The following is a 22,398-nucleotide window of genomic DNA, read 5'->3' as shown; positions in this document are numbered from 1 at the left end:
GTCTAGTAAAATTCTCAGATAACCAATTCTTTCAGGAATTCTCTCCAACTCTGTACTTACTTTTTTTTTTTTTTTAAAGACAGAGTCTCTCTCTGTTGCCCAGGTGTGATCTCAGCTCACTGCAACCTCTGCCTCCCAGGTTCAAGCGATTCTCCTGCCTCAGCCTCCTGAGTAGCTCGGATTACAGGCACCCGCCACCACGCCAGGCTAATTTTTGTATTTTGGGTACAGACAGGGTTTCACCATGTTGGCCAGGCTGGTCTCAAACTCCTGGCCTCAAGTGATCTGCCCACTTTGGCATCCCCAAGTGCTGGGATGACAGGCATGAGCTGCCACACCGGCTATGGCCAAGTCTTAAGATTAGGCCTGTGGAGTGCATGGAAGAGTGCAGGGACATGCACAGAACCAGAATGCTATTGACTGAACATTTGTTTCCCCCCTCCCCAAAATCCATGTTGAGGCCTTAACTACCAGTGGATGATATTTAACTGACATCTTTGAGAGGTAATTGGTTTAGAGGGGGTCATGAGGGTAGAGTCCCCATGATGGGATTAGGGTCCTTATAAGAAGAGGAAAAGAGCCTAGACCTCCTGCTCTCTCTGCCGCATGAGGACACAGTGAGAAGGCGGCTGTCTGCAGCCAGGAAGAGAGCCCTCCCCAGAATCGGACCACACTGGCACTCTGACCTCTGACTTCCAGCCTCCAGAATTATGAGAAATAGATGTCTGTTGATTAAACCAAGTCTGTGGTATTTTGTTTGCTGCCCAAGCTGACTAAGACATGGGAAGATTAAAGTTGTGGGCTAAAAGTGAAAATATCTGAAGCAAAAGAGAGAACAAACCCACACTTGAAAATGAGATGAGCCAGGCTTTCCACTGAACTCTTCACTTTTGCCAGATCACTTAAGCACCCCGACAACACTCTATGGTGGCTTCTACTAACCTTCCCCTTCTCCAGGTGGGGAAACTGTGGGGACCCTTCCCTCTGCTCTAAGGTATGCTCACCTGGAGTTTCCTTTTCTTCCTTGAGAGGCTTCCCGTCCAGTCACTGATCCGTCGCATCCTGGCTTTGAGGGAGTCCTTCTTCGCAGTATCCTCAACAAAGGCTTTGGGCTTCCGACAGGGGAGAGTGAAGGAACTGTACTGGATGGGGTCCCCGTGTGCCACTCTGGAGGGCACATCAATGTCGGAAGCAAAAGAGACACGGTTGCTCAGGCTGGCATGCGTGCCCATGTATTCATCAGAAAGGCGGATACCTGAGGGGGAGAGGCTCCCCAGGTTGGCATCTTTGTACAGTTCCCGGAGGGAGGAGAGGGAAGAGCTTTGGTTGAAAGGCTTTTTGGCATCGCCAGGTGGGAAGCTGGCATGGAGACTGGGGTCAGGCATGCCGGGGGCCAGGAAGGAGCCCTCAGCCTCGCTCAGCTCTCCAGCATTGCCCCAAGGGGAGTCGTACCAGGATGACTCAGAACTCAGGGAGCTGCCTTTGCTGGACCGCAGGCGAGAGTCCGTGGGAGAGGGGCGATGGCTGGGCAGGGAATCGGCGCTGGACCCCCTCCTGGCTTCAGGCACAGGGGAGGTTTCCGATGCTAAGGTAGGTGAGTACCTCAGCAGCTGCACCGGCTCACTGCAGTCCTCTGCAGGCACTTTGCTGGGGTTGCCACCATTGTGGAACTCGACCCTTAAACACCCATCCAGCTTCCCCAGCGTTTTGATGAGCACTCGGGGGCTCTTGCGGTCTTCGCCCGGTGGGGTGGAGGCAATGCTCTCATTCCTCCCGTAGCAGTTGAGAAGGTGTCCGTTGCAGTCTCTGGAGGTGATGTGGTTATCTGCCAGCTCGTGGCCAACAGAGTGGAAGCCATTCTCAGTTGAGAAAGCAGCACTGATGCCCTGGAAATCCTTCCCTGGGGCATTTGTCCTGTGCGTGGAGTAGGCAACACCTCTGGAGACCTTGCATGTGGGGCCACCGAGTCTCGATGCGTAAGGCTGGTTACTCTTAAAGTGAGAAAGGCAGCTTCGGGCCAGGGACCTGGACTTGTAACCTGCTCCGTTGCTTCCGTGACCCCATCCATGCAATGACTTTTCCTCTTTTGCATGAATGCCACGTATTTTCAGGGAGCAAGGAATTTGCTTAGCACCAGTAATAGTATTGCTATGATTTTTAGATCCTTGAAGGGTGTACTGACTGTCGGAGTTGCCCATTTTAACCTAAATTAAGAACAGTTGCATCAGTAAGACCGTGGCCTAAATTACATTCCATTATGACAGAACTTTCTAAAAAGAATGCCCTGCATATTACACAGCAACTTCAGTGCCTGGAAGGACTCAGAGGAGTAGGGACAAGAGTCAGTCAGTAGAACAGGCTCTCCTTATTTTGCAAGGCTGCTCATTAGCTAGACAGACAACACTGCACACCTGTCTGCTAATTATTTTAAAGACATTATTCATTATACAATATTAATTTAGAAGGCGAACAGGCATAAAAATCAGCTTATGAGAAAGATCTGCTTCAGGCTTGGTGTTGAGAGACTTTGAATGATTTTTTTTTGCTTTTTTTTTGAGACAGAGTCTCACTGTTATCATCCAGGCTGGAGTGCAGTGCCGCAGTCACAGCTCACTGCAGCCTCGACTTCCTAGGCTCAAGTGATCCTCCTGCCTTAGCTTCCCAAGTAGCTGGGACTATAGGCACGTGCTACCACTCTCAAGCTCGGGGTTTTTTTTTTTTTTTAAAGATATGGGGTCTCACTCTGTTGCTCCAGGCTGGTCTTGAACTCCTGGGCTCAAGAGATCCTCTTGCCTCGGCCTCCCAAAGTGCTAGCATCACAGGTGTGAGCCACCACACCTGACCAAACTAATGATTCTTGAAGAGAAAAATTAGGGAAAGTATCTTTATTCTGTCAGTCTAAATACACAGATCTCAGTGATCAGAGAGATACATTTTCATTATACATAAACTACTGGTAGAGCTAAAATCTCTCCACAGTATTTTGAGAGACTTTTGCTCAAAAACTATCACATTTTTATAACATGACACCAGGTACCAGGCTCTGTTGGGGCTCTAGGAATACCACAAAAGAAAAAGGCCTGGAAGTCCTCAAAAATGAGGCTGAGATGAAAAATGGGGGAAAAAATAAGAGCTCTCATTTGGGAAAGAAAAACATTTTAATAAAACTAATCTCTAGAGCTTTTGTAAAGACTTCAGGTATCTTCACTTTAGAATATGATGAGAGAAGTAAGTATGAAGCTGACTTAGAATATGGGCATCAGAAAAACTTAATATTAGACTCTTACTTCCTTGTAAAAACCCCAGTTTGCTCAAGGAGTCTATTAGTTAAGCCAAACTCAAAGTGAAAAGGGGGAGAAGGAGGGAGGGAGGAAGGGAGGAAAGAAGAAACCATCTCTTTTGATTCTGAAATAATTTTTTTGAGGTGGGATCTTGCTATGTTGCCCAGGCTGGTTTCAAACCCCTGGGCTCAAGGGATTCTCCTGCCTCAGCCTCCCAAGTAGCTGGAACTACAGGCACATGCCACCATGCCCAGCTAGTTTCTCACTCAAACCAGTATATCACTATTTTAGGTCAGTTGGAGGTGATGCTCTTCTGGTGAGATCTCCAGATATATTTAGTAGGCTTTTTATTTTTAATTCTTTTATATCTAAGAATGTGTAGCCACAAAACAGAAGTTAAATGGATTGACTTTTCTTTGGTGGTAATTATCAAATATTTTAAAACCAAAATCGCTAGCCCAAATAATTAAACCTTTACTTATTACCTTAATCACAGTCATGCAACTTGACGTGACCCCCAGGCACAAGGGTTGGGTTTACCTGACGTCTAGTTTCTGCTGTGAGGGAGGTTAGTGGTCAGTAGGCTTTACATGGTCTTGGGAGCAACACAGCACATTTAACAAGCACGCAAAGTGAGTCCATGAAGTGAGCCTGAAAAACAGAAACGCAAGAAAACTCTGTGAAGCGTTTTACTCCAAGCTCCCACAAAGTCAAAAGGAAGCCTTAACGCAAATTATATGAAGAAACAACTGGTGTCCAGGGTCACTGTCAAGGTAATAAATGAAACGTCTGTGAACCGTGTGATTCATCAGGGTCATTTGAAGCCAGAACTGCCCACCCAGTCTTGCAAAGGCCACCAACTCAACACCCAGTCTGCAGTCAAATGCATGCCTTTGTTTCAGGGGAGACCGCTCCAGTGAGTCATGCGTGGCTCATCTGTCACCATGACCAGGAAAACAACTCTCAGTCTCACAGGGCTGCAGGAGCGTCAGGCTGTGTGACGAGAGGTGGCCCTTGTTCTCTATTTGACCAAGCAGCAAAAACAAAGCCCAAAATATAACATCACAGTGAATAGTCCTTGGTTAAAATAATTTAGCTTGTAGAGGTTGACCTCATAAATGAGATTAAAAGCTTTCTCAAGCACATGTTAGCAGGGGCAAGAGGTCCCCCTCTGAGGGATAAGGCAGGGCTTCTGAAAGGGAGGAGGACTGGCTGAGATGGGGAGGCTCCCCTCTGGCCGTGCTCACTGCTGGACACGAAGCCACAGACACGGGAAGCAGAGGGGTGAGGCCTTAATAGTGACTTTTTGTTCCTTTAAAAAAAAAAAAAAAAGTTTATTTGTAATTGTGGTCAAACATGGATAACATAACATTTTCCATCTTACCATTTATTTATTTATTTATTTATTTGAGACAGAGTTTTGTTCTTCTTGCCCAGGCGGGAGTGCAGTGGCACAATCTCGGCTCACTGCAACCTCCGCCTCCTGGGTTCAAGCGATTCTCCTACCTCAGCCTCCTGAGTAACTGGGATTACAGGCACGCACCACCACGCCCAGCTAATTTTGTATTTTTAGTAGAGACAGGGTTTCTCCATGTTGGTCAGACTGTTCTCAAACTCCCGACCTCAGGTGATCTGCTCACCTCAGCCTCCCAAAGCGCGGGGATTACAGGCGTGAGCCACCGCGCCTGGCCCATCTTACCCATTTTTAAATGTACAGGGCAGCAGTAAGTACACTGTTGTACAACCGTCACCGACATCCATCTTCAGAACTCTTTCCATCTTGCAGAACAGAAACTCTGCACCCATTAAACAGCAATTCCCCGGTCCCACAGCCCCTGGCAACTGTCATTCTACTTTCTGCCTCTATGAATTTGAGGACTCTAGATACCGCATATAAGTGAAAGCATTTGTCTTTTTGCAACTGGCTTATTTCACTTAGTATAATGCCCTCAAGTTTCATCCACGTGGTAGCAGATGTCAGAATTTCCTTCCTTGTTAAGGCTGAATAGCATTCTATTACATGTGCATGCCACATTTTGTTTATTCATTCATCCCATGGAGAGACACTTGGGTTGCTTCCACCTCTTGGCTATTATGAATAATGCTGCTATGACCATGGGTGTTTAACTAGCTCTTCCAGACCCTGCTTTCAATTCTTTATGATATATACCCAGAAGTGGAAATGCAATAGCATTAGGTTATTCTATTTTTATTTTATTTTTAGAAAATAAACTATTTATTGTCATAAGCACACCACTTAGGTTATTCTATTTGTAATTCTTTTTTTTTTCTCTCTTTTTTTGGAGACAGAGTCTTGCTCTGTCGTCCAGGCTGGAGTGCAGTGGCACAATCTCGGCTCACTGCAACCTCCGCCTCCCAGGTCCAAGTGACTCCCCTGCCTCAGCCTCTCAAGTAGCTGTGATTATAGGCGCGCACCATTGCACCAGATAATTTTTCTGATTTTAGTAGAGACAGGGCTTCACCGTGTTGGCCAGGCTGGTCTCGAACTTCCGGCCTTAAGTGATCCACCCACCTCAGCCTCCCAAAGTGCTGGGATAACAGGCGTGAGCCACCGCGCCCAGCCCTATTTTTAATTCTTTACAGAACCGCCATACTGTTTTCCGCAACAGCTGCACCATTTTACATGCTCACCAACAGTGCAGCAGAGTTCCAATTCCTCCACATCCTCACCCATGCTTGTTATTTTCTGTTTTTCGACAGCAGTTATCCTAATGGACATAAGCAGTATCTCATTATGGGTTTCATTTGCATTTCTCTAATGATAAGTGATATTGAGCCATCTTTTTCATGTGCTTATTGGCTACTGTATATCTTCTTAGGAGGGTTCAATGGCACCTTTTATTTTTTTTGAGACAGAGTCTCACTCTGTTACCCAGGCTGGAGTGCAGCGGTACAATCTCGACTCACTGCAACCTGTGCCTCCCGGGTTCAAGTGATTCCCCTGCCTCAGCTTCCTGAGCATCTGGGATTACAAGTGCCCGCCACCACACCCAGCTAATTTTTGTATTTTTAGTAGAGACGGGGTTTCACCATGTTAGCCAGGCTGGTCTCGAACTCTCAGGTGATCCACCTGCCTCGGCCTCCCAAAGTGCTGGGATTACAAGCATGAGGCACCACACCCGGCCTCAGTGGTGACTGTTACAGTTAGTGGGAGGAGAAGCAAGACACTGGAGCTAGGTTCCTCTAACAAAGACAAAGACAAATCTCCTGCCTGAGTCTATCCACGCAGATACATTTTAAATTAAAAAAAAAAAAAAAAGTCAAATAGATTTTCCACTTGGCCATTGGCAGGAAATCCAATAGCTCAGCCTCTAATTAATGAGGACTGAGAAGGTGGCTGCTATACTGCCGGCACCCTACCTTTTAGTAGGCAGCTGTGTCACACGTCTAAAAAGGGGATAGCAACTGCTAGACTTGCCACTAGAACCTGGCCCCATCTCACACATGGGGCTGGACCACAAGAACCCCACCTTTTAAAAGTCCAAAACCAGCTGGGTGTGGTGGCTCATGCCTGTAATCCCAGCACTTTGGGAGGCCAAGGCAGGGCAGATCACCTGAGGTCGGGAGTTCGAGACCAGCCTGATCAACATGGAGAAACCCCGTCTCTACTAAAACTATAAAATTAGCCAGGCATGGTGGTGCATGCCTGTAATCCCAGCTACTCAGGAGGCTGAGGCAAGAGAATCACTTAAACGCCAGAGGCAGAGGTTGCGGTGAGCCGAGATTGTGCCGTTGCACTCCAGCCTGGGCAACAAGAGCGAAACTCAGTCTCAAAAGAGAAAAAAAAAGTTCAAAACCTGGCTGGGCATGGTGGCTCAAGCCTGTAATCCCAGCACTTTGGGAATCCGAGGCAGATGGAGCACTTAAGCCCAGGAGGTCAAGACCAGCCTGGCCAAAATGGTGAAACTCCATCTCTACTAAAACTACAAAAAAATTAGCTGAGTGTGAGGGCACACACCTGTAATCCCAGCTACTTGGGAGGCTGAGGTGGGAGAATTGCTTGAATCGGGAGGCAGAGGTTGCAGTGAGCTGAGATCAAGCCACTGGACTCCAGCCTGGGTGACAGACGCAGCAAGACTGTCAACTCTGTCTCAAAAATGATGATGATAATAATAAATAAACAAATAAATAAAGTTCAAAGCCTGAGCTGTTGAACCTTAGCTACCCTTTCATTTTTTAACTGAGGGAACTACAAATGGCCAGAGAAGCTCCTGGCTGCTGCCACTCAGACTGTCACAGTGAGTGGATCAGAGTGAGCCTTCATTTGTTTCCTTTTGTAAAGACCAAGGTCCAGCGAAGACACTGGAGGCGAAAGGCTCCCGGCCGCTCACTCCTCAACCACCTCTCTTTGTCAGCCCTCCCGAGCTGCAGCACACACAGCACAGGCCCTGAGCTCGCCAAAACCAGCGGACAAAACTGCGATTGAGTGGCCGACTGTGTCAGCCACTCACAGACACACAAAGAGGCCAGAATTCAAAGCCGCAGAATCACTCCCAGGTGGAAGTTTCTGCCCCAGCGGCAGGTTAGAACCTAAGCTCATCTTACTACTTTTGCAATTAAATAGCTTAATTTTTTTATTTCATGGGATATTTCTAAAAACACAGGAGACCCCCATCCTCTACTGGATGCTGTGCACTCAAGGCCTAGCACCTGGAGGCTCATATAAGCACTCAATAGACACCTGTGGGACCAAATGACAGCAATTCATGTGCTACACAGTTGATGCGGACCCCAGACCAAGGGCGGGAATCCTCCTTACTGGGTATGACAGAAAGACTGGTATATCAACTCACGAGGATACATTTCCATAATTAAGATAGAGAAAAGCAAACAGGGAGTGACAGAAATATAGAACAAAGTGCATTTTCACATATGCATAATGCTGACCAAATGTGCAATGTTGGGTCAATCCTGGCAGGGAAGAAAAAAAAAAACAGCCTTAAACAGTAGGAGGAAGAATTTATCCAATATTTATGAGAAATTTATTGACAGGAAGGATACTCCCTGAGGGAAGCTAAGTAATTATTGTCCCTGAGGAATTTGACAAATTGAACAGATATTTTTCTGTCATGCTTCAGCTATGATTTTTGTCTGGAAGCAAGGGAATATTTAAGGCAAATGTTCAGTAACCTCTGGCCCCCTGACTCCTTTACTAAAGGAATTTTATGATATTCAAGTTTAAAAACTATTTTAGTTAATAGAAAGGGGGCTGAAAAAAATTTAAAAAACAACAGATTTCATTCATGTAAACTCTTCAAAAAAAAAAAAAAGTACTTTAAAAGGGCCTGGTGTTTACAAATAGCAAAAGTATGTATACGTACAGTCACCCGCAGCAACCCCTGTGAAGGTTTTCTAACCTGCAGGAAGAGATATGAAGTATAATAACGTGTGGCGAGGCCCAGGGCTGGTAGAGACGTAATTTAAGTGAAGTCACTCTGGAATAATGTGGCACCAAGAATGTGTATAGTTAGCAAACATTTTATGCTGTGTACAAACTTTTTTATAATTATTTTTTATTTACGGGACAATTATAATAAATATTGGAATTTTAAAAAACTTATCACAATGACATGGACCTAGAACAAAAAAAAAAAATCCTACCATCCATTCTCCATTCCCTCCCAATCCCCAAAATCCTACCTTCCATTCTCCATTCCTTCCCAATCCCCAAAATCCTGCCTTCCATTCTCCATTCCCTCCTAATCCCCAAAATCCTACCTTCCATTCTGCATTCCCTCCCAATCCCCAAAATCCTACCTTCCATTCTCCATTCCCTCCCAATCCCCAAAATCCTACCTTCCATTCTGCATTCCCTCCCAGTCCCCATTCACATGAGTATGCTCTGTAGCTTTTTAAGCTAAAATTACCAAGAGTGGAAGTTTTTCTTTCTTAAAAGTGTGATCAGTAACCACTCCAGAAGCGTGCAGCAATGTGGAGGAATGTCCTAAGTATGCCATCACAATCCCAACAGCCACTGTCATCTACTGAGTCCCGGGGAAAAACAGCTTTCAGGAGGAAATTCGAGATTTACCTTTTCTTCATTTGCCTTTAGCCTGGGCTTGATTGGATGAGTCAGATTCCCAAATTCTCTAGTTCCATGTAGTGTGGCATTTACAGCAAAGAAAACTAGAATCGTCTGCCTCTGCTTTGTCTCTGGACTGAGGCCCTGAGCTGGCTGCCCAGATGGAGCAACTGAAGGGGAATAGGAGGAAACCCTCCGGGTGGGCAGATGGTGCTGAGCAGAGGCCTGCGAGGAGGGCGGGGGCTGGATCGGGGACAGCAAACAGAACGGAGCCACTGCAAAAAAGGAGATCTACAGCTGGCCAAGACCGTGAGAGGAAGCGCAAGTGCTACTACCAGGAGATACCAACAGGCTTCACGTCGCTCCAGAGAGATTCTTATACTAAACTAGGACCCTCATCCTAGTCCCAGGCAAATACTTCAGATAGTGACAAGAGCCAGATAACAAAAGGGCTAGCCATCATTAACCATAGCAATATCTACTTGGTTTTCTTTATTTGGGGAGGGTCGGGGACAGCTTTAACCACTAAGGAGAGGAGTCTCCGTAAATTCTAGTCTGGTTTGTGTCAGCGAACTCGGGTTAAGCCCTGCTTCTGTCTCTCAAACAGCATGTGAGACTTTGGGCAAACTGCTCAAGCTTTCTGAATTTCTTTTTCCTCATTTGCAACTTGAGGATAAAAATATCTGCACTACTACCTCACAGACTGAGAATCAAGTGTGGAAACATATGTGAAACCATCTAAAATACTGGGAAATGCAACAGAGTACTATTATTAATTTGTAGTTATAAGTCTAATTTTGTATGTTATGATATCAGATCTCATAATAACTGCTGTTTCAGGTCTGTCATTACCTACTCATTATTCAATAATGCAACACAAAGTATTATTAAATTTTAGCTTTAAGTCTGATTTTGTATATTATGATATTAGATCTTATTAAAACTGTCATTTCAGATCTTTCATTATCTATTATTAAATTAAATATTATATATAGATAAATTTAGAATCTTCTAGGTTTTAGCATTTCATTTTGATCAATTCCTCCAAATTATTACAGCATATAAAACTACCTAATTTGCAAGCAGTCTATCAAATGTAAAGAAAACCAGTGACACAAGCCATACACTCTCATTAGTAGATAACTCACGTTAGGAAATGTAAGAAAATAACCTGAATGCGCATTGAACTGGTACAACCTTAAAGCAGTCATTCTCAACTACAGTGATTTTGTCCCCCAAGGGACATTTGGCATGTCTGGGAATATTTTTGGTTGTCACAACTGGGGTCTGCTACTGTCACCTAGTGGGTTAAGGCTAGGGGGATACTACTGAACCCCGTACAACATACAGGACAGTTCGCCACAACAAATAATTAATTATCTGGCCTAATATGTCAGTAGTTCCAAAGCTGAGAAATCCTGCCCTGAAGTTTTATTATTGTCTCTATCACTGAAAATATTAAAACTCAGGACAAATGTGCCTAAAAATCTAAAACAAAAGCATTCACCTCTACCAGGGATCCAAACTTACTAATAAACTCTGTAAATACTGCCAGAATCTGTTTCTCTCATCCTGAGTCAATGAACTACACTCAGAATGCATGAATTGAATACCAAGACTTGAAGGAGCTCATTTCTAATCACAAGAAGACTTGAACCCAATTTATATAAAGAGGCAGGCAAAAGGAACATCTGGTCCCCATAGGAATAATGCTTAGGAAGAGTAATCCTTACAAAAAAAGTGAGCAGAAAGCAAGCTGCTGTGAAGGGCCTCAGAAGCTAAGCTTTCATTGTTGGGCCTCACTGGTCGTCTTTGAATTCAGCGGGACTCCTTCCAAATGCATATTAACAGATGAATGGATAGACCCATCTGCGGCAAGGAATGCCCTCCGAGCAGGATCTCCGCTGACAAGCATGGCTGGTATTCAACAAGCGGGAAAGTCATAAATTCCACAGAGACAATAGCTCAGCTTTTTGTCCAGTTCATCACCTTAGTAAGTCAATTTATCACAAGGAGGATCTCCACACTCACACCTGTTTTAGAAAACATCCCAACATCTGCAGCATGGCTTACAGAAGGCTGATCAAGCCGTGGGTCGTGGCCCATTGTTGGGTTATGAAATCCATTCGATGAATTGATACCAGTATTTTTAAATGAATACAAGAGAACAAAATAGAGCAGAAGAGAGACTAGCAGAACGGAAAATAGACGAGTGAATCCCAGTAAGAGTAAAATTTGTTTCATGAAACTAAATTCTTGTGTGTGCTTGTGTGTTTGTCCATATACTGGGTTGTGAAGTAAAATTATGTCTTCTTGAGTCACGATTAAAAAAGAAATGTTTTAAAAACTGACTTATAAAACCACAAGAGGTAGTTTTGCCAGAATGGTACATCCACTCTAAGAAAATCCAAGGAGAGCCAAGCTCCGACGAGTCCCAAAACATTCGAAAAGTCATTGTTGGCTGGACGTGGTGGCTCACGCCTGTAATCCCAACATTTTGGAAGGCCAAGGCAGGCAGATCACTTGAGGACAGGAGTTTGAGACCAGCCTGGCCAACATGGTGATACCCATCTCTACCAAAAATACAAAAATTAGCCGGTCACAGTGGCTCATGCCTGTAATCCCAGCTATTCGAGAGGCTGAGGCATGAGAATCACTTGAACCTGGGAGGCAGAGGTTACAGTGAGTGGAGATTGCATCACTGCGCTCCAGCCTGAGTGAAGAAGAGATTCTCACTCAAAAAAAAAAGAAAAGAAGAGTCAGGGCCAGGTGCAGTGGCTCACGCCTGTAATCCCAGGACTTTGGGAGGCCGAGGCTGGTGGATCACATGAAGTCAGGAGTCTGAGACCAGCCTGGCCAACACAGTGAAACCCTGTCTCTACTAAAAATACAAAAATTAGCCGGGCGTGGTGGCAGGCACCTGTAATCCCAGCTACTCGGGAGGCTGGAGCAGGAGAATCTCTTAAACCCAGGAGGCGGAGGTTGTAGTGAGCCGAGATCGCGCCACTGCACTCCAGCCTGAGCAACAGAGCAAGACTCCGTCAAAAAAAAAAAAGAAAGGGAAAGGAATGGAAGGGAAGGGAAGTCATTGTCCAAGGCAAACACTTCAGATACAGACAGTAAGTACAAGATTTTTTTTTTTTTTAAAGATGGCCCATCATTAATGTGCAATCTGGACACCACAGATTAGGTCCATGGGCTTCATCCTTTTGCACTGCACAAATTAAAAAAAAAAGCACACACATTCACTGGACATTCAACTTCTTGGTAGGAAAGTTAGGAACAACCCAATAAGGAAGATAACCCAACAAGTGGGTCTTGGAGGATGAGTAGGATTCCATTAGATGAAGAAAGGAAAGAGAAGGCCGTGCGCGGTGGCTCACGCCTGTAATCGCAACACACTGAGAGGCCAAGGCAGGCAGATCACCTGAGGTCAGGAGTTTGAGACCAGCCTGGCCAACACGGTGAAACCCCTTCTCCACTAAAAAAATACAAAAATTAGCTGGGTGTGGTGGCGGGCGCCTGTAATTCCAGCTACTTGGGAGGCTGAGACAGGAGAAACACTTGAATCCAGGAGGCAAAGGTTGCGGTGAGTCAAGATCACGCCACTGCACTCCATCCTGGGCAACAGAGCAAGACTCCGTCTCAAAAAAAAAAAAAAAGAAAAAGAAAAAGAAAAAGAAAAAAGAAAAATAAAGGAAAGGAAAGAAAGGAATTCCAGGGAACAGAAAATGGCTTGTTCAAAGACACGGTGCTCCATAACCACTTGCTGGATCCCTGAAGGACCGAATCCACAAGAGAATACATGGAGAAAGACCCCAGCTCCTTCAGGGAAAGGTGTGAAGGGGGTGCAGGTCCCAAGCACCAGGGTCAGGGACAAAGTTTGGAGAGAGGAGGAGGTAAGAGGGAAAAGGCAGGCTGAGGGAGGGGAAGCTAAGGGAATCTTGGACAGGCCCCTGCCCATCCCCTTACACCCTCCCCTACCCACTGTTCCCAGAAACACCACGGCACGACCATCAACCTCAGGACACTTTGGAACACCCTCTGGGAAAGGAGTCCACAGTAGCCAACAGCTCAGCGTCAGTGTGGGAGGCAGTGTTGGCCCAGGAAGAAAATGTTCAAAGTATTGGCAGAAACTTGGGGAAATGAAGTGAAATTTTAAAGTTCCACTCAACAATTCGACATGAATGTTTGGAGACTCTCCTATACACGGAGCACTGTGCTGGACACCATGAGGGACAGAAGTGTGAGAGATGACACCATCCCTTCCCAAAGGAGCTCATCAGCTTGTGCCTGGAGGGAGAGAGATTATAAACCATGAAACATGTGGAGAATCAGTAAGAGAGAATATGAAAGGCCAGGCACAGTGGCTCGTGCCTGTAATCCCAGCACTTTGGAAGGCCGAGGTGGGTGGATCACCTGAGGTCAGGAGTTCGAGACCAGCCCGATCAACATGGTGAAACCCCGCCTTTACTATAAATACAAAAATTAGTCAGGCGTGGTGGCACACGACTGTAGTTCCAGCTACTCGGGAGGCTGAGACAGGAGAATTGCTTGAGCCCAGGAGGCGGAGGTTGCAGCGAGCCGAGATGGCGCCACTGCATTCCAGCCTGGGCGACAAAGCATGACTCCGTCTACAGGGGGAAGAGAGAGAATATGACAACTTTAACAGCATCAAGTTTATGAGAGAGATGGTGAAACCGGCAATCCCACAAATATTACTGGTATGTTTTTGGAATGTCAAGTAAATTCAGTGGCCCGGCTATATGTGAGCCATTGCAGAAACTGAAAATATTTCAGGGAATTTAAACACACACACACTTTCAAGCAAAATTACAAAATCAAGGAGCTTCTCTGAACCTATTCTGGCTCAGGGGCTGCCCAATAAAAATTTTGTTTTTTAATTTTTTAAATTACAGAATCAATATTGTCTAAAATAATCCTGGATAAGACGAAATATTTTCCTTATTTTTCTTTTAGAAATTATTCAAAGGCATTTTACACATTCTCACCACGGCTCTTTGAAACATGTATTTTTTTTTTTTAAATATATCAAATGTTCAGTCCCACTCTGCCCTTTCTCCCCCGTCTACTTCAAGTCTCAGCTAAAACTTGTCCAACATCCTGGCCTCTATAAACTTCGTGGTCCTGTTCTGGTGACTACCAGAACAAAGATTCAAAAGACCTAAAGCTGTTAGCATGTCTTTTAAATGGCCCTCTTTTATAACTTTTATAAACATGGGATTCAAAATTGTGAGTGTGACTTTTAAATAACCTCCGTTTTTAACCTTTCTGAGCTTGAGCCACTCCACAAAGAGCAAGCTTAGGCCTGGGTAAGCACTTCCCAAGGTTTACATCAAAACTTAAACAGCATCATGCGCTGGAATCTCAGACTGCAACCACACAGCTTCTTGCTGACTATGGAAACCTGCATGGATGTAAAAGGCCCGAGCTTCAGTACATCAGAAGCAGATACCGTCCTCCTAAACCCCAATCACATTCTGTAACCAAAATCTACCACGGTCATTGTACCAAGTTATTCTTGGCAAAACATTTCTTCATTATGCACTGTTTCATTTAAGTTAAAAAATGAACGGGGCTTAAACCACATATTTTTTTCCCCTCATCTAAATGGGTGCTTTCCCCACCTTCATAAAATGTGTAACTATTCTACTTCAACAAGGGTTTTTGCCTTGTTTGAGAGTCATTTTTAGAAATGTATGTCTTCAGGCTACAATGTAGATTCTCCCTGAGGGCTGCAGGTAAATTAACCAATCATTGCTGAAATTTTCCTTAATTCATATGAGTATTCACAACAAACCTGATAAGATTTTAGCTAACAACTTTATAGAAACTTTCAGGAAAAAAAACAACATATATATACTAGTTGGTATAGTTTAAATTTGCTAATTTATAGAAATTTAACATTTTTTCATATCCAAAGTAGATGAAACACGGATGGAGGGGGAAGGGCCTAATCCATTCTTTTTTTCTGAGATGGCAGTCTCTCTCTGTCACCCAGGCTGGAGTGCACTGGTGCGATCTCAGCTCACTGCAACCTCTGCCTGCCAGGTTCAAGCAAGTCTCAGGCCTTAGCCTCTGGGATTACAGGCACACACCGTTACATCCAGCTAATTTTTGTATTTGTAGTAGAGATAGGGTTTCACCATGTTGGCCAGGCTGGTCTCAAACTCCTGATCTCAGGTGAGCCGCCCACCTCGGCCTCCCATAGATTACAGGCGTGAGCCACCACGCCTGACCAATCCTTTCTTAATGCTGCTGTGTGCCGGGATACCCCAGGCACAAGAATCCTCATAGGTTGCATAATCATCCCTGTTTTACAGAAAATAACTTCAGCCTCCAGGGGATGAATAATGAGGCAAAGGTAGGAATCAAACCTGGATATTTTCGATCATTTTTTAACATCGATTGATTGATCAACTTATTGCCAGGGTCTTGCTCTATCACGCAGGCTGGAGTACAGTGGTGTGATCACGGCTCACTGTAACCTCAAATGCCAGGGCTCAAGTGAGCCTCCTGTCTCAGCCTCCCAAGTAGCTGGGACTATAGGCTTGCACCACCATGCCTGCTAATTTTTTTATTTTATTGTTTGTAAAGACAGGGTCTCACTATGTTGCCCAGGCTGATTTTCAACTCCTGGGCTCAAGGAGTTGAATCCTCCTGCCTTGGCCTCCCAAAGCGCTGGGATTATAAGTGTGAGCCACCACACCAGGCCATTTTAATGCAGTGGCTCATGCCTGTATTCGGAGCACTTTGGGAGGCCAAGATGGGAGGATCCCTTGAGCCCAGGAGTTTGAGACCAGCCTGGGCAATACAGTAAGATGTTGTCTCTTTAAAAAATAAAATAATAATTTTAAATTATTTTGTACTTCTTAATCTGAAATTATTCCTTTTTTTTTTTTTTTTAGTACAATTTAACTTTCAGGATTCCCTTTCAAAAGAGTGGTTTGGCCAGGCCCAGTGGCTCACGCCTGTAATCCCAGCAATTTGGGAGTCCGAGGCAGGTGGATCACCTGAGGTCAGGAGTTTGAGACCAGCCTGGCCAACATGGTGAAACCCCATCTCTACCAAAGATACAAAAATTAGCCAGGAGTGGTGGCGGGCACCTGTAGTCCCAGCTACTTGGGAGGCTGAGACAGGAGAATTGCGTGAACCTGGAAGGCGGAGGTTGTAGTGAGATGAGATCACGCCACTGCACTCCAGCCTGGGTGACAAAGCGAGACTCCATCTCAAAAAAATTAAAATTAAATTTAAATAAATAAAGGGTGGTTGTGGTTCTGATCAATCCATGCCCCTTTCACAAATCAAACATCTTAAACATCCTTCTCTAAGGGTATTTTTTTTCTCCAGGTAACAAAGGTTTCCGTGGCTGGGGATGAAGAGGTAAGAATAAAATGAAAAACTAAACTTCTAAGTTACCCAAGGAGCTTTATGGTTAAAATTTAGTTATCCCAGTCTACTGCCTTATAAAGAACATTATGCAAATGAGAATTTTGTTTTCTTGATACTTTAAGCTTCATGGTAATTGTCTTCAATAATAATTATAACTTAGAGTATGCCTCCAAATGGCTGTGGGGGTGGGGCATGGCCACCAAGACAAAGGGAGAGCAGAGGAGACACTCAAGGCCACAGAATAACCAAGGGGCATCTTCCTGAAGCTCTGATTTCATTTAATGCTAAGTAATTTAAATATTATGTCCATAATAAAGAAATATGTATCATGGCAGGGCACGGTGGCTCACGCCTGTAATCCCAACACTTTGGGAGGCTGAGGCAGGAGGATCACTTGAGATTAGGAATTTGAGACCAGCCTGGCCAACACAGTGAAACCCCATCTCTACAAAAAAATACAAATATTAGCTGGGTGTGGTGGCACGCCTCTGTAATCCCAGCTACTCAGGAGCCTGAGGCACAAGAATCACTTGAACCTGAGAGGCAGAGGTTGCAGTGAGCTGAGAAGGCACCACTGCACTCCAGCCTGGGTGACACAGCAAGACTCCATTTCAAAAAAAAAAAAAAAAAAAAAGAAAAAAAAAAAAATATATATATATATATATATATAAAGTAAAGTATAAAATTTACATTTTTAAGATAAAGTATAGGAGTTCAACGATATTTAGCATTTACATTAGTTTGCTTCTGCTACATCATCAGGCTTCCCAGGGAGGATACATTTTCACTGATTAAGGCAATAAATGTTCACTGAATAACAACTCTTTGCTAGACAGTTCTAAGCCCTGGGGATACAGCAATAAACAAAACAGACCCCCATCCAAAGAAGTATCCCTGCTCTCATGGAGCTTATACTAAAGTGGAGAGAGATGAACAATAAACAACGAAAATAAATTTTTTTAAGACGGAGTCTTGCTTTGTTGCCCAGGCTGGCTTGCAGTGGCATGATCTCGGCTCACTACAACCTCCACCTCCTGGGTTCATGTGATTCTCCTGCCGCAGCCTCCCAAGTAGCTGGCACTACAGGAGCCCACCATAACGCCCAGCTAATTTTTGTATTTTTTTAAGTAGAGATGGGGTTTCACAGTGTTGGCCAGGCTGGTCTCGAACTCCTGACCTCAAGTGATCTGCCGGCCTCAGCCTCCCAAAGTGCTAAGATTATAGGCATGAGCCACCACGCCTGGCCGAAAAATAAATTTTCTTTTAGGAGGTGATAAGCACTTTGACAAAATAGTAAAGAAGGAAATGGGGGAGGAGGCAACGTGGAGAGGGGAAGGATGCTGCAATTTTTAAAAGGCGAGGAAGCCTCTCTGAATGGTGACACTTCAGCAGAGACTTGCAAGGAGGAGACACCAAGTGTATTTCAGGGAAAGGGCACCGTGGGCAGGGGCAACAGAAAGTGCAAGTGCCGGAGAGGCAGGGACCAGCATGGCCGCAGCAGAGCAAGCGAGGGGAAGAAGGGCAAGAGAGGTCAGAGAGGGGCCACAGAGCCAGTGAAGGCAGCCTTGAGGGACAGTTTAAGGACTTTGGCTTTCACCTTGAGAAAAAAAGTCATAATTAGAGGGTGTGATAGAGAAGGCTCATCATGGGACATTTTAAAAGGATCTGTGTAGCTGCTGTGTGGATATGGATTGTCAGCGACACAGTGGAAGCAGCAGGGGGACCTGCTAGGCTACCGGAACGATGCAGGGGAGAGGCAATGCGCCCCAGCTTGGGTGGGGGTGGTAAGGGAGGGGGGTGGTAGGGGAGGAGGCTGCCTCCGGACACAGCTGAAGCTCTGGAGGGCCGAAGGGAGAGCCAGCAGGACTCGAGGGCAGGTGGAAGCAAGTGTGAGTGACACCAAGGATGATTCCACACTGTTCCATTAAAGCCATGGGAGAATGCAGACGGCAGAGCAGAGCAGGCTTCCGCGGGCAAGATGAGGAGTTCAGTTTTGGACAAGCTGGGTTTGAGGTGTCCACTGGATACTTAAGTGGTAATACCAGTCTGGAGTTCAGGAGAGAAGTGGGCTGCTCACCCACACAAAGATGGTATTTAAAACACAAACTGGATGGGTTCTCCATAAGTAAACAAAGGAAAGACATGGGGTCCAAGGAGGCCCTGGGGCACCTTGACATTAAGGGGTCAAGGAAATGAGGAGAAGCCCATAATGGAGACAGAAGGGGCAGTTGGTGAACTGAATTAAGAGGAACCAAGAGACCTGGCACGGTGGTGGCTCACACCTGTAATCCCAGCACTTTGGGAGGCTGAGGCGGGCAGATCACCTGAGGTCAGGAGTTCGAGACCAGCCTGGCCAACGAAACCCCGTCTCTACTAAAAAAAATTACAAAAATTAGCCGGGCTTGGTGGCGCATGCCTGTAATCCCAGCTGCTTGGGAGGCTGAGGCAGGAGAATCACTTGAACCTGGGAGGCGGAGGTTGCAGTGAGCCGAGATCGCATCACTGCAGTCCAGCCTGGGCAACAGAGCAAGACTCCATCTCAAAAAAAAAAAAAAAAAAGAGGAAACCAAGAGAGTATGTGGCACCTAAAGCCAATTGGGAAAAGCACTTCAGGGAGAAGACTGAGCAACCATGTCAAATGTTTCTGATTCAAATAACAAAAACCTAGAACAAGCAGTGCATTTAGTAGATCTGGCATTATGCAGGTCCCTGTGAACAGGACAAGGGCAGAATGGGGTGGAGAAAGACCGACTGGATTGAGTTTGAGGATAAGGTCAGTGAAACTGAAGGGAGTGAATAGGGACAGCTCATTCAAAGAGTTTTACTATAAAGGGGAGCAGAGAGGAATCAGTTGCTAGCGGGAAGGACAGAGGGATCAAAAAGAGCTTCATTTATTGTCTATGTGTGTATCTTCAGGAAAAATTCCAGCACGCAATGAGAATTAAAGGGAAAATGTGATGTGGTGCAGAGAGAGGGGCCATTCCTAAAATGTCCTAGAATGGGTCAAAGGGAGAGGAATTGCACGCACAAGAGGAGGTGGCTCTAGAGCAACTGCCCCTCCTATCACAGAAACTTCAGAAACGTTTGAGAGGCACCAACATCACATACATGCAGTAGGGTGTCAGGATACAAGAGCTCCAGTGAGAAACTCCTTCATTACCTGCATGTCACTGTGTTGTCTTGTAATTTCTATTTTTTTCCCACTGTGACATTTCTTAAAAAGGTAAGTGATGGTTATTGTTAGTTTCCTGTTATTTCAGGGGGCTTGTTATTGTTGTTGTTTTATAGTTAACTTGTCTGGCTGTTTGGATACATTTGTGATCATCCTATCAATTTTCAACGGAGAGTGTGTGTGTGTGTGTGTGTGTGTGTGTGTGTGTGTGTGTATTCCAAGAATATATGGACACTTTCCATGAAGCGCTTTACTCTCCAGTGCCTCCTAATGTCATGAGTTTCCTCGGTTCACTACTGTGTCTGTGTATAAAGCTTCCTTTCATTTATCTTTAAGATGCCTTTTTCCACCTTCCAGGGGTGGCCAAGGGTAACTCGAAAAAGAGCCTGTCTTTATTCTCTCCACTTGGTTTCTTCTCATTGCCTTTAATCATATGGATTCTAGCTTTTGTCTTTAAAAGCTTGCAAACTCTGTCTCTCCTTAGCCCTTCCCCACATCTCCATTTTAGAAATCCGACTCTAGCAATTCTGCGACTATAGAGATGGGTCAGGGTCAAGCACAAAGGCAGGATAAGGATTATTCTCACTTTCCAGTGCTTGAACAATACCCAGGATTTTTGAACCTTTATTCAAGTCCTAGGAACACCCTGAATCAACTTCATCCTGACATTATCTGTGGAGCCCACTGCATCCCTTTCCTTAAGTGTAAATGATAACTTGGCCTATCACTTTTTGTGTAAACTTTACTTTTCCAAAAGTGCCTTACATCACCTTGGCACTAAAGCCAGGCCTCATCTGCTGTGTTTCTGTTCCCTTCCAGGGCTTCTTTTTTGTAAGGCACAGAAGTAACAAAACCTAAACAGTCTTCTATTGGAATGTGACTATAAACCAAAGAAAACCAATCTAAGACTGAACCAGGAAGAGACTGACAGATGAAGTCTAATCAAACCTGTCTTATCACATAGGTTAGGGTAACATGTGTGCACCTAAAATTCTCTCTGGCAACAGTCAGAGAGCTGATGGTCACAGATTGAATGTACAGCTTTGAATTTGACTAGGCTATGGGAAAAGCAAAAGCCCTTTTCTCTACTAGAGCTTTAAACAGACAGGTAAACCAAACCAACACACAGGTTACCAAACACGTTTGGTAAACAGGTAAGTAAATAGATGAAAGAAAGAACAACAAAAAAAAAAAGAAAAGAAAGAGGAAAGGAAGAAGGAAGGATGGACAAAGGGAGGAAAGGAAATGTATGTGCATGTCGGCTGGACGTGGTGGCTCATGCCTGTAATCCTAACACTTTGGGAGTTCAAGGCGGGCGGATCACTTGAGATCAGGAGTTCAAGACCAGCCTGGCCAACATGGTGAAACCCCGTCTCTACTAAAAATACAAAAAAAAATTAGCCGGGCGTAGTGGCAGTTGCCTGTAATCCCAGCTACTAGGGAGGCTGAGGCAGGAGAGTCCCTTGAACCCAGAGGTGGAGGTTGCAGTGAGCCGAGATTACACCACTGCACTCCAGCCTGGGTAAAAGAGTGAGACTCTGTCTTAAAAAAAAAAAAAAAAAAAAAGTCTGTGCATTTGTCTGTATATATTTGCACACATGTGTATGCATACACAAGTCTCTATCAATTATCTAAGATACATCAGGATGTGCCAAAGTTTCCTCAATTAAGGAACAGGTAGAGTAAGAAAAAGACTAACAGGATACCTGGAATTTCCTTCCAGCTGGGTAACTAACCATCTCTGTGGCTTCGGACAAGTCGCTTCAGTTCTGTGGTTCTTCAATTGTCTCCTTTGAAAAACTGCCTAAGGTCCATTTTCAGCTCTAACGTTCTATCTCTACAATACTATGGACTATAAAGACCTGAAAAATGAGTGTTCAATATGTTTCCTGAGACACTGATGTTGAAGCCTCCTGATATTTGTAAGCCTGTTTTAAGTAGAACTGAGTAATAAAAAGACATTCCACCCTGTTAATAGAATTCAACAGTCAGACATTCAGGTTTATCTACTACCATTATTATTACTTTTTACTGTTTTTAATACTGCTGCTATTTCTTTCTATTCCATACCTTTATCTTTTTTCTAGCCCTTCTAGTAAAGCTGTTATTACCTTCATGTAGAAGGCACACTTAATTTCAAAACAAAAAAGATGCAAATTATTCCTTTAAAAAATGTCCAAATAGACCTTGTTCTTCACGGCCTGTATTTTTCTAAATCTAAAAGCTGAAGGCCGGGTGCAGTGGCTCACACCTGTAATCCCAGCACTTTGGGAGGCCGAGGCGGGCGGATCATGACGTCAGGAGATCAAGACCATCCTGGCTAACACGGTGAAACCCCATCTCTACCAAAAATACAAAAAAATTAGCCGGGTGTGGTGGTGGGCGCCTGTAGTCCCAGCTACTCGGGAGGCTGAGGCAGGAGAATGGTGTGAACCCAGGAGGCGGAGCTTGCAGTGAGCTGAGATCGCGCCATTGCACTCCAGCCTGGG

At 44.9% G+C, this 22,398-nt stretch overlaps 1 protein-coding gene across 3 annotated transcripts in view, besides 6 other annotated features; it reads right to left on the bottom strand.

Annotated features, from left to right (window-relative positions):
- The window catches only part of TIAM2 (TIAM Rac1 associated GEF 2), a 262,409-nt gene that overhangs the window by 126,302 nt on the left and 113,709 nt on the right, over window positions 1-22,398 (bottom strand). For all 3 annotated transcript variants that reach the window (NM_012454.4, NM_001384546.1, NM_001384547.1), the window contains 2 exons: window positions 3,822-3,932; window positions 1,005-2,204 (listed from right to left, as the gene is read on the bottom strand). In NM_012454.4, the coding sequence (NP_036586.3) occupies window positions 1,005-2,198 (1,194 nt within the window). In that variant the 5' untranslated portion in view covers window positions 2,199-2,204; window positions 3,822-3,932. The remainder of the gene's footprint in view (window positions 1-1,004; window positions 2,205-3,821; window positions 3,933-22,398) is intronic.
- Window positions 1,096-1,711: an enhancer, noted in NCBI's record as "H3K27ac-H3K4me1 hESC enhancer chr6:155450845-155451460 (GRCh37/hg19 assembly coordinates)". NCBI's record gives its function as "activates a minimal SCP1, AML or CMV promoter by ChIP-STARR-seq in primed H9 embryonic stem cells {active_cell/tissue: H9 hESC(primed)}" and the evidence as "EXISTENCE:reporter gene assay evidence [ECO:0000049][PMID:30033119]".
- Window positions 3,243-4,442: an enhancer, noted in NCBI's record as "CDK7 strongly-dependent group 2 enhancer chr6:155448114-155449313 (GRCh37/hg19 assembly coordinates)". NCBI's record gives its function as "activates an origin of replication core promoter dependent on BRD2, BRD4, P300/CBP, MED14 and CDK7 cofactors, with strong dependence on CDK7, by STARR-seq in HCT116 cells {active_cell/tissue: HCT116}" and the evidence as "EXISTENCE:reporter gene assay evidence [ECO:0000049][PMID:35650434]".
- Window positions 3,489-4,235: an enhancer, noted in NCBI's record as "H3K27ac hESC enhancer chr6:155448321-155449067 (GRCh37/hg19 assembly coordinates)". NCBI's record gives its function as "activates a minimal SCP1, AML or CMV promoter by ChIP-STARR-seq in primed H9 embryonic stem cells {active_cell/tissue: H9 hESC(primed)}" and the evidence as "EXISTENCE:reporter gene assay evidence [ECO:0000049][PMID:30033119]".
- Window positions 10,897-11,679: an enhancer, noted in NCBI's record as "OCT4-NANOG-H3K27ac hESC enhancer chr6:155440877-155441659 (GRCh37/hg19 assembly coordinates)". NCBI's record gives its function as "activates a minimal SCP1, AML or CMV promoter by ChIP-STARR-seq in naive H9 embryonic stem cells {active_cell/tissue: H9 hESC(naive)}" and the evidence as "EXISTENCE:reporter gene assay evidence [ECO:0000049][PMID:30033119]".
- Window positions 11,680-12,461: an enhancer, noted in NCBI's record as "H3K27ac hESC enhancer chr6:155440095-155440876 (GRCh37/hg19 assembly coordinates)". NCBI's record gives its function as "activates a minimal SCP1, AML or CMV promoter by ChIP-STARR-seq in primed H9 embryonic stem cells {active_cell/tissue: H9 hESC(primed)}" and the evidence as "EXISTENCE:reporter gene assay evidence [ECO:0000049][PMID:30033119]".
- Window positions 17,692-18,191: an enhancer, noted in NCBI's record as "H3K4me1 hESC enhancer chr6:155434365-155434864 (GRCh37/hg19 assembly coordinates)". NCBI's record gives its function as "activates a minimal SCP1, AML or CMV promoter by ChIP-STARR-seq in primed H9 embryonic stem cells {active_cell/tissue: H9 hESC(primed)}" and the evidence as "EXISTENCE:reporter gene assay evidence [ECO:0000049][PMID:30033119]".

The sequence above is a fragment of the Homo sapiens genome, chromosome 6 (genome assembly GCF_000001405.40).
Source record: "Homo sapiens chromosome 6, GRCh38.p14 Primary Assembly".
Lineage (NCBI taxonomy): Eukaryota > Metazoa > Chordata > Mammalia > Primates > Hominidae > Homo > Homo sapiens.
This window is presented reverse-complemented; position numbering and strand designations above follow the sequence as displayed.